This window comes from Homo sapiens, chromosome 7 (genome assembly GCF_000001405.40).
Source record: "Homo sapiens chromosome 7, GRCh38.p14 Primary Assembly".
NCBI lineage: Eukaryota > Metazoa > Chordata > Mammalia > Primates > Hominidae > Homo > Homo sapiens.
Window position 1 is genome coordinate 28,518,394 of NC_000007.14, and position 15,826 is coordinate 28,534,219.

A 15,826-nucleotide genomic window follows, 5' to 3' on the forward strand; every position below is an offset into this window, starting at 1 on the left:
CACAGCCTCTCTCAAAGAAGTCGTCCCCTTCCTGCCTTCTCCCAGCATGATTTGTTATGCACAGAGCTTAGGAACTTTCCCAGAGGATTTATGAACATAAGGTTATTGCTGAATTTGTTGGCATGGTTGGCCCAGGCATTCCTGTCCATTGCTCTCTAACCAGAGCAACAAGCCTTTGGATAAGGAAGCCTGGGCTTCTCAGTGCTCTAGAATGTGGTGGGCATGCGAGTCCCACCCTTGTAACCCCACTTGGTTGGTCTCCAAATGGCTAGAGGGAAACAAGATGGCCCAGAATTCTGGCAACCCCTTTCTCAGTGTGTCGTGCCCAAGAGCTCTTCCCCATGCTGCCAGGCCACCTGAAAGTGGCCTCCAAACACTTCCTGTGCGATCCACACTCCCCCCATGTGGATTGTGAGGATGTGACTTGGAGTGTGGTCTGAACTCAGGACGAGGGCAAGAAGTCAGCTCCATTCCATCGCTCTCTAAAAGTCACACATGACTTTATTTTCTCACTGGTAAAATGGGCCTTTTGACAACTTTGAAGTTCTAAACACAGGAAGTTAGAATACATCAAGATCTGAAGAATTGACATTAAAACTGGTTCCTAGGTAGGGGTTGTTAGATTCATACATCACTAGAGCATCTCACTTTGAACATTCTTTCTGATGTTGACTACAAGAAGTGTCCAAAAAGCGAGCAGGAAACAGGAATCCAAACTCCACGTTCACAGAGACAATTACACCGTTGTGACATTGCTGCCTGGAAGAGGCGTCTTTTTCCTGCATGTCAGCAGTAAGGAAATAATTCCTTGATCCAGATCTCTGCTAGATTTTTTTCTTTATTTGTATTACAACAATACATGTGTATATGTTTTAGGCACATGTATTACAACATACATGTGTATATGTTTTAGGCAAAGTTGGGAATTCAGACTTTGGGAACAATTTCATGCCAATTTCTGGGAAGTTCTGGCAGACATTCTGATTATACCTAAATTGCTTATAATGTTCAATCCAACACCAGCTTTAACAGATAATTGCTATCAAAGTATAACTACCTGCTGCCCTTTGATTTTGAAGATGGCGTCACTGATTTACCCATAAGCTGGAGGTGAACTTAGAGTTGATTTACCCTTGGTGGTAATGGGTTTGCACAAATCTAAACACACGTGCCCTCCCATAGACTTCCTTGCAACCAGAGGCACATATTGTAAGACAGCTGGCCAGGGCCAGGGGTGCAGTCTGTGATGGTGGGAGAGAGGCACTACTTTGACCTCATTAAAGTAGTCCTTCTAATTGAATGCGACAGTCATAGACCACAACTGCTCAGTGCTGCACTTATACAATGTACTGGTGTATTTCGCAGGAAAAACATCTGTTAATAACACTGACGGAATATTCCCAGCATTATTTTCTCTTCTATTTTACATTTTGCTCTTCTTAAATTTGATTGCTTTTTGGCAAAATCTCAGGATGCCAAACAAACATAACCAAATCACGTAACAGTGGTTTGTTGTTATAAAAAAGCATTGAGAGCTCACATATGTGCATTAAACCAAACTGAAAATGGACAAGAACTCATAAAGAAGGACATGTGTGTCTCTGATTTTTGCACATGAGTTGGTGTTAGAAGGGAAAATAGGAATGGTGCTTTGGTGTGTGCTAGGAATGGCTTGAAAGGAACTGATCCACTAAAATACTTTGTTTAGTTGCATCGTGGTATGGGTTCAGCTCATCCGCCTGGATTACTGGCTTTTCATCAAAGGCTAAGTAGGTACTACTTCAATAGAGCCGTGTTCCTTCAGTATGAACTAGCTGACTCAGGTCAGTTTTTAAACATCAGTTTATAACTTGCTATGCTCACACACTTATGCCAACTTCCTCCTTCGTAGTTGTCTCCGCATCCTCCTGCCTCAGGCTTTTGGGAGGCCTCTTCCCTTTCACATTTGTCACTGAGACCATTTGACATATTAGCCAGTTGGGGCATGAGGTCCAAACAAGAATTACTCATATTTGCATTCTCCTTTCCTATCCGTGGAAAAGAAGAGACCAAGTCTGATTTCTGAAGTGATCCCCACTTCCTGCAACTCCCTGGCAGAGGTAACTTGCTCCTAGGGCCAAATCCCCTTCCCAACGGCTGTTTGGTGATTCTGTGTCACTGGGCTGACTGTAAAATCAGGCATATCCTTTTAATTACCTGTTCATATTTCAGCAATGCCGAGCTCTGTGGCACAGAGAGAGGGGATAAACCTTCATTGTAAAGGATTTTTAGAAAGACTATCTCTGAGATAAGAGTTCTAAATCTTGGCAGTCTCTTCAGAGCACACACTTTGTGATTGCACACAAATTCTTGGCTCCCCAGAGCCGTGTTGTAAATGGAGCACAGTGTACAGGGTTGGGTAATAAGATACTGCAGATACATTTTAGAGCAAGGTGCACTTTTGCTTTATTTATGAAGATAGACAGGCTGGTTGAGGGCTTAATCACAGCTGATAAATCATTTTAAGAAAGCCTATTAGAACCATATGCTGATTTTTTTGCATTAATATAGTGTGTCTGTTTCCAGTCTAATAAGACAGGGTTTTTTTCTCCTGTGCTCTGGGTCTCTCCAGTGTAGACTATTTATCTGTTTAAGTGGTATCACTTGTGTGGGGGCAGTCTCTCCTTAAGAGGTACCATTAATAAAGGCAAAAGAAAAGGGGGAGGCAAAAATGAGCCAAGGCACCCATTGCACAGTGCATGTGTGTGTGTGGGCATGCAAGTGTGCCTGTGCACGTGTGTATAAGTGTGTGTGTGTGTTTATGGTATTACAAAGGAAAGAGTAAAAAAGCTGAGAACAGGAAACATCTCAATTAGAGTTTCGGAAGGCCGTGGATTGGTCTTCACTTGGCATAAGGTAGTCATTTCAGCCCAGGTGGTTATAATACTGTAGGAAAAGATTATCTGAAGTTGGAAGAGGGTGTGCACTGACATTTTGGTTACCTCACTTCTCCCCAGGCTCGCGGAGGTCTGCCCCAAGAACAGGTCCCAAGGCTCTTTAATGAGAGCCACATTGGAGCTCCGACTCTGAGCCAAGCTCTGTTTATCACTAATTGCAGGGGTGCCTTGCAGATCTTTTCTATTATTTCCTGATTATACCCCTGCTCTTTTTATTATCTTGCCAAAATTCAAACAGTAATAATTGCATGATTTATTGTTTATTTATAACCCTTCTACTGCTTCAATCCCTGTATTTAATAGATTTTAAAACAGCAAATAGCTCTTACTAACCTTCTACAGGGAAGTCATGTATATGCCAATCTTACTTGGCATTCTTCAAACCACTTCCATGGTACTTCTGCACAATACGGTGTCTCTGACCAGATACAGAAGGGCTGTTTTTAAGTGCACAGAGAGTTTGTGTGCCAGGAGAATGTGTTAGGAAAGGATATTAATTTATCCTATAGGATTACGTTGAGTTATGTTAATATGACTTCTAGTCTTTCCAACTCACACTTTCCAAGAGAGAGATAAATGAAAAGCCTGTTTTATACACATTTAGACATAGTGGGGAAATATAACATCACATTATTAAAATTGAGATTATAAACTAGTAATAATAAAATTCACCATCATTCCTTGGGCTCCTACTATTTGTCAGGTGCCGTTCTAGAAGTTTTGTTTATATTATCCCCGTTCATCATAGCAATCCTAGAAGATAGATGTTTTTGCCCCCATTTTACACAATGAGAAGTTAAAGCTTAAGAGTTTAAATAATTTGCTGAAAGTCATGAAGCTAGTAAGTTGCAGATTGAGTATATAGGACTGTCTGCTGGGAAATTAGTGTGTTTCCCGCTACTTCAGATGCTTCTTCCTGTCTTTCGTTGTGTGCATATGCATTTTAATATAATTTACTTGAAAAAATGTCCGGTGGAAGCTTTTGCAGAACATCAAGCCATGCTTGACCTTGACAAACACATGAAAATATCTTGACTGCACTGACTATATCCTGCTCTTTGTTTTTTTTTTTTTTTTTTTTTCTGAGGTGGAGTCTCACTCCGTCGCCCAGCCTGGAGTGCAATGGCACAATCTCTGCTGACCACAACCTCCGCCTCCCAGGTTCAAGCAATCCTCTTGCCTCAGCCTCCCAAGTAGCTGGGATTATAGGCATGTGCCACCATGCCCGGCTAATTTTTTTGTATTTTTAGTAGAGATGGGGTGTCACCATGTCGGCCAGGCTGGTCTCGAACTCCTGACCTCAAGTGATCCGCCTGCCTCAGCCTCCCAAAGTGCTGGGATTACAGGTGTGAGGCCACCGTGCCTGGCTATACCTTGTCTTTTAAAAGTCCTTCGTAAGGCTTCTGTTGAGCTTCGTCTTAGCTCTGGATTTGCCCACATTCTGCAGATGTGGCTAGAGACAGCGTGGCTGGCCCTGAAACCTAGCAATGAAAGGTAGCTTGCTCTTTCTTCGTAATGCACTTTTCAATGCCACCAAAGGCATGTAACCCACCACGACTGCTCTGCTCACCAAGATGCGTAATTCCAGTTCCCAACCAAGCATGGGAATCCTCTCATCTCCAGAGTTCTGTGAGAGACATCCACTCGCTGTGAGGTGTTTTGTTCTGTGCCTGGTTGTACAGACTGCCACCATCCTAGAGTAAAATGAACATTTGGTGAGTGAAGAGGTATTTGGAACCTATATTAGATTCTAAAAGACCAATGTCTGCTTGAATGACTGCCTTGAGGAAAGCACGCTTGGGTGAGCACTGCCCTGGGTCTCTTAGGGCATAACCTTGGGATTCAGGGAGTTGCTATGCCATCACTTTTGGGTGTCATAGGAGTTTTGGCAGTGGGATAAAGATTAATTACTGGTATATAAGCCGTGCTATGTATTAATTTGTTTAAATGTTGGCTCTTAAAGGAAACTGCCACACACCCTCCCTATACCTATGCCCAGCTTCTACCACTGGGAATACTCCCATTATGTTCTCCCAATTCAATCGAAAAACGTTTATTGAGGTCTTAATGTGTCCCAGGTGCTGTGCTAGTTGGGTCAGGAGCCAAGGCTACATTCTATTAGAGGAACTGCTAGTGATATAAAGGAAAGTTTGGCTTTTTTGATGGGTCCTAAACTCTTCTGGGATCGTGTGTACAGTAGAAACAGCATTGGTGGTGGCTACTCAGTTTAGCTGGGTATTCTTCATGCTCTGACCCCAACTTAATTTTCCAGTTTTCTTTCTCATTTGTCTCTCATGTCTTTTCTGCTCAGGAAAATGAAATAAGCCATCCTCCCTGAAACTGCTCTGTGGCTTCACCACCTTGCTGTGCTTGCCCATGCAGTTATTTCCTCTTGCAAGGTCTTCTTCCCTCATCTTTGACCGAATCTAATCCACGCATGAAAGCTCATGTCAGCTGCCACCTCCATGAAGCCTTCTCTGATCTCCCCTCACCTGATGCAATCTTGATCTTTCCTGAATTCCTGCAGTGCTTTTTCAGCACTGCTTATGGCACACCTCACCTCCTACCTTGTGTTTTGATATTTGCTGAAACTGCCTCCTGGGACTGTGAGCCATGTTATCACAGGGCTCTGCCTGTCTCCACCTGTCATTCTCAGCACCATTGCCTTACACGTGGAAGGAGCTCTGTGAAGAATTACTGGAATGAGTGAATGAATGAACATGTAATAGTGAATGAATGTCCTCACTGAACAAGATTACATCACTTGGTTTATCTGAGACAAGGAAGACTGAAGTGCTTTCTACCTCTGAAGTAAGATGTCTCTTAGACAGCTTTAGTATACACTTCCTTTTAAAGAAATTTGCTGGCTGGGTGCAGTGGCTCATGCCTGTGAGCTCAGCATTTCGGGAGTCAAAGATGGGCAGATCACTTGAGGTCAGAAGTTCAAGACTAGCCTGGCCAACATGGTGAAACCTCGCCTCTACTAAACACACACACACACACACACACACACACACACACACACACACACGGCAGATGTGGTGGCACACATCTAATCCCACCTAATCAGGAGGCTGAGGCAGGAGAATTGCTTGAACCTGGAAGTGAGCTGCAGTGAGCCGAGATCGTGTCACTGCACTCCAGCCCGGGTGACAGAGCGAGACTCTGTCTCAAAGAAAGAATGAAAAATTTGCCAATTCATGAAAGAGCTAGAATTATTGAGGATAAAAATACCTAATAACATAGTTATTGGTTAATAGCCATGCTGTGTAGAGAATCTTGAATTGAAAGCAAGAAGAATTTTAATTAGAAATGCTTCTATTCATTCAACCGTTTTTGTGAGTTTTAATTTTTCTTTTTATCTATTTAATTTTCTAATTGATACATCATATTTGTACACACTTATGTGATAGATGTGTTATTTTGATACATGCATAGAATATGTAGTGATCAAGTAGGGTTATTTAGGCTATTACCTTAAACATTTACCATTTCTTTGGAGAACATTTCAAATCTTCCAACTATTTTGAAATATACAATATATTGTTGTTAACTATAGTTACCATACTGTGCTATTAAACAGTAGAACTTATTTCTTCTATCCAACTGTGTGATTGTGCCCATTACCAACCCCTCTTCATTCCCCGAACCCCACCCCCGACCCTTCCCAGCTTCTGGTAACCATCATTCTACTCTCTACCTTCATGAGATAAACATTTTAGGCATCACAAGTGAGTGAGAACACATGATATTTATCTCTCTGTGCCTGGCTTATTTCATTTAACGTAACGACCTTCAGTTCCATCCATGTTGCTGTAAATGACAGGATTTCTTTTTTAGGGCCCAGTAGTATTCCATTGTGTATATATACCACATTTTCTTTATGCACTTATTTATTGATAGAATATTTGATTGATTCCATATCTTGGCTATTGTGAATAGTGCTGCAATAAATGTGGAAGAGCAGGTATCCCTTTGATAAACTAGTTTTATTTCCTTTGGATAAATACTCAGTAGTGAGATTGCTGGATCCTATGGTAATTATATATTTAGTTTTTTTGAGAAATCTCCATTCTGTCCTCCATAGTGGCTATGCTAGCTTACATTCCCACCAACAGTGTGTAAGAATTCTCTTTCTTCCACATCCTCACCAGCATTTATTATTATTATTATTATTTATAATAGCCATCCTAACTGAAGTAAGATGATATCTCATTGTGGTTTTGATTTGCGTTACCCTGATGATTAGTGATGGTGAGCATTTTGAAAAAAAATGTATCTGTTGGACACTTGTATGTCTTCTCATTGGCATGCAGTAAGGTACCACTCAGACCACAGGCACTTATAATAAGGTGTGACAAATATTTTGTACCATAAATATAATAGACATAAGCTAAAGATTTCCTAATCCAGTAGTGTGTGTGTATGTGTGTGTGTCTGTGTGTGTATGATGGGGAGAGTGGTAGATATCAATGGCAGGTCTTAGTTAACTAACCTAACACTCTAAGCCTCAGTCTTCTCATCTGTAAAATGGCAATAATAATTACTTAGCTCACAGGATGATGTGGTGATAAATGAAACCTCATATATAAAGTACTGTAGCTTGTATTCAGGGGTTCTCGATAATTCTAATTCTCTTTCCCTTCACTGGATGTATATCCAAGAATCAGAGACTGCTGAGATTTCAGCGCCAAATCTGGGATGGGAAATTAGGCAAATACTCTACACTCATAATGTTCCCTGGATTTTAGGTGGTGGTTGTGACTCAGAAATCCCTTTCATCACTGCAGTGAGCCCAGAGACTAAAACCTTCCAAAAGCCTTAGTCAAAACTCAGAGGTGGGTTAGTGTCTATGATCCATACTGAGCAGGAAATAATCTTTCTGTTGTTACAGGTGATTATTATATAAATCAAAAGTCCAAGGGCTTCCCCAAAGTTTTGCTTTACAACCTAGGCAATGCAGTATGCCCAGTATTTATTTTTAGGAAGGTTTGGCAGATGTTAGGTAGGCTGACTTCCAGGTCAGAAAAAAATGTTCAGAGCAATATAATAGAAGTCCCCGTGGGACAAATTGAAGTGAAACGTTATCATCTTTGGAACACATTCACCTATTCATCAGTTACTTAGCCTCTAAACTGTGGATCCTGCTTATACCATCTTACTTTGCCTTCTTTGGTGGCATTTAAGTAACTTCCTGGAAAGACGTGCTTCTTGCTGTGTCTGGCTGTTTAGGGTTACCAGAGTTTTGGTTACTACAGAACATTGTTGGGAAAGAAAAATAAATCCTTGCTTTGGGAAGATTTACCATCAAAGCAGAGTCCATGGTTTAGGCAAACTCGAACTGCCTGGAAAAAGCAGGCTGTGCAGCCACATGGACTGGCCACGCTGAGAAGCCGAAAGGCCGACTGTGCACAAAAGAGGTGCTGCCTGCCTGGTGATCCTGTCCTCCTGGGATAGGGGTCTGTGCACAGGCCCCAAACAGCTTGGAGCACAGGCACTGAATGGTATAATCATTCATTCCTGTTTTCTTTCTTTGTCAGAAATGTCACAGACCCAGGGAGGTCCTCTATCCTGTACTCATGGTATCTAATTCATCCATCTTTTATTAATCCTGTGACAGCAGGTGCTGGACACCTGGACACATACTCTACACCCCTTATGAAGAGTGAAATATTAAACCAAGGGTGGGTGGCAGAACCTTGACTTTTCCATTGTGTATCTGAGGAGGACAACTCATCAGGGAATTGGAGCTGAGACATGACATACACCCTTTAGTGAAAACCTGGTTAGTTGCAGTGAGCCATGCCTTAGCAGGCTTTTCCAACATCCAAGAAGTAGTTTGGGTCTATCATAACCACCATGACTATCACTCCTTCCTAAGCAAAAGCTGAAAGACCAACTCTTTGCCCAGTAAGAACCCATCCTGCTTTTCTTGTTGTTACTGAAGCTGAATATTCCAAGATCAGTGCCATACAACTGCTTTTATCTCAGTGCTTACCAAATGCCTTCTTTGGAACAGTACTCCTGAGAAACTTGCTGCATTGGAATTACCAATGTGACCTGGGACTGTGCTACAAATACAAATTCTGAAGCCCTATTCTGGACCAATTCACTCTGTCCAGCCTGTGGCAAGTTCCCAGATGATGCTGATGCTGCTGGTCTGGGACCACACTTTGAAGACCACTGGTCTAAAAATTCTCTTGACAGCCAGGTGCAGTGGTTCTTGCCTGTAATCCCAGTGCTGTGAGAGGCTCATGTAGGAGGATCACTTGAGGACAGGTGTTCAAGACCAACCTGGGCAATATGGTGAGACATCATCACTACAAAAAAGTTTTTAAAAAATTAGCCAGGCATGGTGGTGCATGCCTGTATTCCTAGCCATTCAGGAGGCTGAGACAGGAGGGTCTCAGCCCAGGAGTTTGAGGTTGCAGTAAGCTTTGATTGCATCATTGCACTCCAGCCTGCGTGACAGAGAGAGATCCTGTCTCAAAAAAATTCTCTTGTGAAATATACTTATTGTTTGTTTCATATTATTCCTTTCTTGAAGCCAGGATCTTGTGGAACCTACTTTGCACCACTGTAATGGAAAGAGCTTGAGCTATCCATACCTACTGGCTACGTGGCCTTACCAAGTCATTTAACTTTTTCTGAGCCGCCATGTTTATCTACCTTGCAAAGTTATAGTGAGGTTTGGGCACAATTACATGTGCGGGTCCAGCAAATTGCCTTGCACATAGAATATACTTACTAAATGGAAAGCATGTTTTGTTTAGTTCAGGCCAGAGCTATGCTGACATTTGCTGCACCCACACTTTCTTGGGATGTACTGACACTTCAAGACACTTTGAATGTACAGTCCAAAGATTTCTTGAAACTTGGGGCCCATCGCTTCTACCTGTGTGCAAGTGAGCAGATCTTCCTGACATAGGCTATCACTGAGTCGGCATTAATTGCTCTGTAATTGTCAAGGGGAATATTTCATGATGAAAGGATAGTGTTTGAAGATGCTGTGACATCCTGAATGCTTAATATTTCAATTCTCAATTATGTGAAAGCAGTTTGTAAACTTCAGTGTGCTATACAAATGAGTATGTGCTGGGTGCAGTGGCTCACGCCTGTAATCCCAACACTTTGGGAGGCTGAGGCGGGAGGATCAGCTGAGGTTGGGAGTTGGAGACCAGCCTGACCAACATGGAGAAACCCTGTCTCTACTAAAAACACAAAATTAGCCAAGTGTGGTGGCACATGCCTGTAATCCCAGCTACTCGGGAGGCTGAGGCAGGAGAATCACTTGAACCCAGGAGGTGGAGGTTGCAGTGAGCCGAGATCGCGCCATTGCACTCCAGCCTGGGCAACAAGAGCGAAACTCCATCTCAAAAAAAAAAAAAAAAAAAAAAAAGAGCGTGATTATAATTGTTATTACCTTAACCAATGTTTTAGGTTAAAAAAAAAAAAGGCTTGCCAATGCAGAATAGGTGTGTTTCTCACTTTTAAAGAAGAATATGATATTTATTTCCCTTCTTTGGCCATACTCTGAACATTATCTCAGAATCTCTCTGGTGGCTTCCACAACTTCCGGGATATCCTAACCTTGTTGCTTTAAGGCTGGACCTTGGAGAGGTCATGAGAGGGTAGAACATCAATTGACTTTGCAATGATTCCTCATAACCAAGGAGACACACCAGTCCTTCTGAGGCAACAAACTTGGAGGTGGAAGAATGTGATTCATGAGGAAAAGCAACAGCAACAGATTCCTGATTCTTCTGTGGGAGCAACTCTAAAGCTATGACCTGGAGCACAACTGGTGTCTGTTGCTTATTCCTGTGGCCTGCTGGGCTACATCTGGAGGTTCTGGAGACCAGCTGACCCCTGGAGGGATCTGGGCTCCAGTTTTTCCACCCAAGAATGCACGAGAGTGGTCACTGACTATGGAGCTCTGCTAATTGACCACTCAGGCAATAGCCAAAGCCCCGAAGGAGGTGCCAAGGTGGGAAGCACTTCCCTGTGCTCCCTGCAGAGGACCCTGTTGGCAGGCAGAAAAGGATGGGCCAGGAAAGTAGGGAAGGAGTGAGACGAGAGAAAGAAAATCACAGATGTCCCAAGTTTCCACAATTTTATCAAAAATTTTTCCATGACTCATCTTGTGCCTTCTCCCCAAATTTAACATGATAAAACCACTGGCCTAAATATAATTAAACTGCAATTACTCAAGAGTAAGAGGGTGGTACCTTTTAATCAACCCCTTCATTCCCTCAAACACAGAATCCAAGGTGGGAAAATAAAGAACAAAAACTGTCTGTCTCTCTTCTTCCCAACCTGATTTCCTTGCTCTATGGCCCTCTGAGAGGGAGAGCAAGTCAGAAGGATTTCCAGAATAATTTCTTCCCACCCAAATGTGGGGAAATCAAGTGAAAGCTGCACAGAGACAGCTGGAAGACTGTCATGTTTTGCTTGTTTGTTTCCTCAACCCAACTTCAAGACATGCTCAGCTCCAACACACTTTGCTTTACCTTTCTATACGTTAATCTGCCAGGAAAGTTTCTTCTACGGTGAGGCTATTTGGGACACCTGATAATCACACCAGCTATTGTTTACTGAGCACCTACTATTTGCCAGATATCTTGCAAAATTATCTCTTATCATCACAGCTCCATGAGGCAGGTTTTATCACTTATAATTTTCCTGATAAGAAATGAACTCAGAGATTAAGCTATTTGTCCTTAGTCATCCAATGGCAGAGCTGGGATTTAAACTCAAGACTGCCCAATTCTAAAAGTCCCCTCTGACTTTGGAAGGAGCAGTGGTGAATAGAACAGGAGCAAAAGCAATTCAGAGTCGCTTTTGTGATTGCTTTTGAATTGGTACACACTGTCACAGGCTCCGGATCCAGGCTTCTGATCCAACCCACATTGGTTTTCCTCGCCCGTCAGATAAGAGGAGCCATGCTTGACCTGGAAGGTGTTGAAAGACATGCTGCTGTGTGCAGCTTATCAAAGGGAACAAGGTTCACCATCACTGAGACCTAGGAAGGGGCCGTGGTCCAGCTGGACCCTAGTCGAGCTGCTCAGGGGCAGCTTGGGCTGTCGTCCAGGGTGCACGAAGCCATAGCCAATGTCAAGGGCTCCTAATGTCCAGGCAGGAAACTGTGACTGAAAAGCTGAAAAAACATATGATCCCATAAAAAGCTGCCTTTGGGGAAACAAGCCATTAGTCAGCCTTATTTATTTTTCCTTCTTGCTGCAAAGTTCAATACAGATGAAGGAGCTGCGATTATCATATAAAAGGCTATGCAAAATGGCCCTCCCTCTACGCTGCTGAAGAAAACTTTACCCTGGCTTTTCGCCATAGTTAGCTTTGTTTGTGTTCTTCAGATTCCGAGTCCTTTGACCACAGTTGTGATGGCCCAAGTAGAAGCGCAAGTGTGTCTCAAAATAAACAAGCAGTGCTGGAACTCTCTAGAGTCCCCACTCATCTCCACCCGCAGTCCTGCCTTTTATCCTGGCTGATGATGGAGGCCAGAGGAAAGGGATAGTGGTGGCCTTATTAAGACAAGATCTTCTGCGGGAAAAATATGCTTAATGAGCTTAGGAAAAACCTTGTGGTCGTGGAATGTAATAAAATTTCCATTTTCTTGGGTGAGATCAGGAAACCTTGACTGTCTATTCTGAGTTTTTGCCAGTTTTACTGGGGAATGTGCTTTTTGAAGGTCAAATGTTGTTTTTTTTTCCCAGTGGGTGGCGGGGAAGAGGCACAATATAATGTTTTGGGGAAAGCCCCATGGTCAATCCATGGGTGCAAAGTAACCAGGCCTGCTTGTCTTATATAGTCTCTTGGTCTCTAGGTTTTTTTTTCTTTTCATCTCTTAATTCCCCATGGCTTCGGTAATAAAGTACCCTAGACTGGGTGGCTTAGAACAACAGAAATGTGTTGCCTCACAGCTCTGGATGCTTGAAGTCCGAGATCAAGGTGTTGGCAAGGCTGATTTCTTCTGAGAGCTTTGAAGGAGGCACTGCTCCAAGCCTCCCTCCTGGCTTCGAGTGTTTTGCTGGCCATCTCTGGTGTTACTTGTAGATGCATCACTCCAGTCTCCACCTTCATGTTCATATGGTGTTCATCCTGTGTGTGTCTGTGTCCACATTTCCCCTTTTCATAAGGACACCACTCATGATAGATTGGGAGCCTACCCTCCTCCGGAATGACCTCATCTTAACTAATTACATCTGTGATGACCCTGTTGCCAAACAAGGTCACATTCTGAGGTCCTGGGGATTAGAACATCAATATATGAATTTGAAAAGGAGGGATACAATGCAACACGTAACACCATCTCATAGACTCATTAAACTTTTACTTTACATAGGAATTCTGAAACCAGGCCAACAGAGAGGGGTATGGAGACCCTAACTAAAAACTGAGGCTAGCCGGGCGTGGGGGCTCACGCCTGTAATCCCAGCACTTAGGGAGGCTGAGGTGGGCAGATCACGAGGTCAGGAGATCGAGACCATCCTGGCTAACATGGTGAAACCCTGTCTCTATTAAAATACAAAAAATTAGCCGGGTGTGGTGGCACGCACCTGTACTCCCAGCTACTCGGGAGGCTGAGGTAGGAGAATCGTTTGAACCCAGGAGGCGGAGGTTGCAGTGAGCTGAGATTGTGCCACTGCACTCCAGCCTGGCAACGGAGCAAGACTCCGTCTCAAAAAATAAATAAAAACTGAGGCTAAAACTTTGTCAGTGGAAAATTATTACTTCAACGCAAGACACCAACATTTGTGAAACAGGGTTCTGTAGGGGTTGGGGAAGCCAGAGCCATGCTATGAGGACACTCAAGCAGCCCTGTGGAGAGGTCCACGTGGCCAGGAGCTGAAGCCCCCTGCCAAACAGCTATAGGAGAGACTCATCTTGGAAGCAGATCCTCCAGTCCCGGTCAAACCTTCAGATGAATATAGCCCTGGCTGATATCTTGACTGCAACCTCATAAGAGTGCCTGAGCCAGGACCATCCAGCTAAGCTGCTGCTGAATTCCTGACATAGAGAAACCGTGAGATAATAAATGTTGTTTTAAGCCACGAAATTTTGTGGTAATTTGTTATGCAGCAGCTGCATTGCAAAATTGTTATCCAGAGATCTAATACAGCTCCTGGCACCCCAACCCTGGAAAAGCAAATCTGCCTCTACTTTGTGAACAGTGTCATCGTGACAACTTCAGAGGGAAAGAGTCCCAGACCAACAGTGCCTCGGGTCTCGTGGATCGGAAGGTTTTCTTTGTTTGTTTGTTTGTTTTTGTTTTTTAAGGAAATGGAGAAAAAGGAACTAACAAAGTAATTGAAAATTGGTATATTTTATTTACTACAACTACAAACACATTAGGCTAAAGCAAGAACTTTGTTCATTTGATCAGCAGGATAACATAGTGGTAAGAGCACAGAATTCCAAGCCAAAAGATCTATGTTTGTATCCCAGCTTTTGCCAGCTATGTAATCATAGGAAGTTACTATACCTCTCACCCTAAGTGTTCTCATCTGTCAAATGGGATAACAGTAATAGCACCAACCCCTTAGACAAGAGTTACTGTGGGAAATAACTTAGAACTGTGTTTAGCACATAATAAGATGTGAGAACACAGGAGTGGGAAGATCCACTTATGACATAAAATGTCCCACAGTTAGAGACATAGGATGCTTGTTGAAAGAGCCAGGCTTGGATCATGAGGTCAGGAGTTCAAGACCAGCCTGACCATGATGGTGAAACCCTGTCTCTACTGAAAATACAAAAATTAGCCGGGTGTGGTGGTGCACACTGGAAGGCGGAGGTAGCAGTGAGCCGATATCGTACCATTGCACTCCAGCCTGGGCAACAGAGCAAGACTCCATCTCAAAAAGAAAAAAAGAAAGAGCCAGCCTTTAAGGAAACGGGAAGTCAAAGCTTGTGTAACGAAGCAAGACCAGACTTTTTAAATCTACCTCCCTTAACCTTTATAAACATGTGGACATCATAAACTTTAGGGAAAAAAAGTAATTGTCCCCAGTGACAGAAGGGATGGCGAGACCGCATAACTTGTTCCGGGCCATAAGACACATGGACACTCTGGTGACCATACCTGTCCCCGCACAGTTGCTGTCCTTTCCTGTCGTGCGTACCTGCACTTTGCATGGAGACACTGACTTCAGTCATACTGTCAGTAAGTCATTTCAGAAAGCACCACAGGATTTCCGGAAGGACATAGCATTTTAAAATTCTACTGGGTAAGAACTAAGTTCCCCACTTATAATTTCTAAAAGGCTAAGGGTTATTTTTACGGGTTTTTGAGCTCTCCATTTTACATCATGTCCTCTGAGAAGTTTTCAATGAGCTCAGTCCTGTATTGGGCAGAGGCTGCCTCCTCTTCTGTTTTAAAGGAGCTTGAAATTCTTTTACTTCTTGATACAGCAACCAAACCTGAATATATTGTGAGGTTCCCATCCCAAGTCAGAGCTCTTGAGGGGAATCATCCTTGTCCTCCTCTTCTTCCTCCTCTTCTCCTAAATGGTGCTACATAGGCTGGCTTAACATCTTTTTTTGAAATAAAAACCAAGTGTAAACATGAGTCAGAATGACAGGGCATATGCAGGACTCCAACATTTACTTTTGACATGAGTTGATTTTCAGTTATGTTCTGAGAACCTAGATCCTGTCATCCCAACCCTGGAAAAGCAAATCTGTATCTATTTTGTGAACACTATGATCCTGACAACACTGGGGGGAAGAGTCTCAGACCCACAGGGCCTCAGGCCTCAGGAATAGGAATTTCCAGAAGAAAAAAATAAGGACGCTTTGATCCACTTGCCCTTCGTATTATTGTCTCCCTGTGCAATTTGCTGGAGAATTTCCCACTGGCTCTTGGCTCATTT

General features: G+C 43.1%; 1 protein-coding gene across 11 annotated transcripts in view, besides 1 other annotated feature; it reads left to right on the top strand.

Moving 5' to 3' along the window:
- The window catches only part of CREB5 (cAMP responsive element binding protein 5), a 526,574-nt gene that overhangs the window by 219,073 nt on the left and 291,675 nt on the right, over positions 1-15,826 (top strand). The gene's annotated exons all lie outside the window — the stretch shown is intronic.
- Positions 5,531-5,580: an enhancer, noted in NCBI's record as "active region_25797". NCBI's record gives its function as "activates an Ori minimal core promoter by ATAC-STARR-seq in GM12878 lymphoblastoid cells {active_cell/tissue: GM12878}" and the evidence as "EXISTENCE:reporter gene assay evidence [ECO:0000049][PMID:35858748]".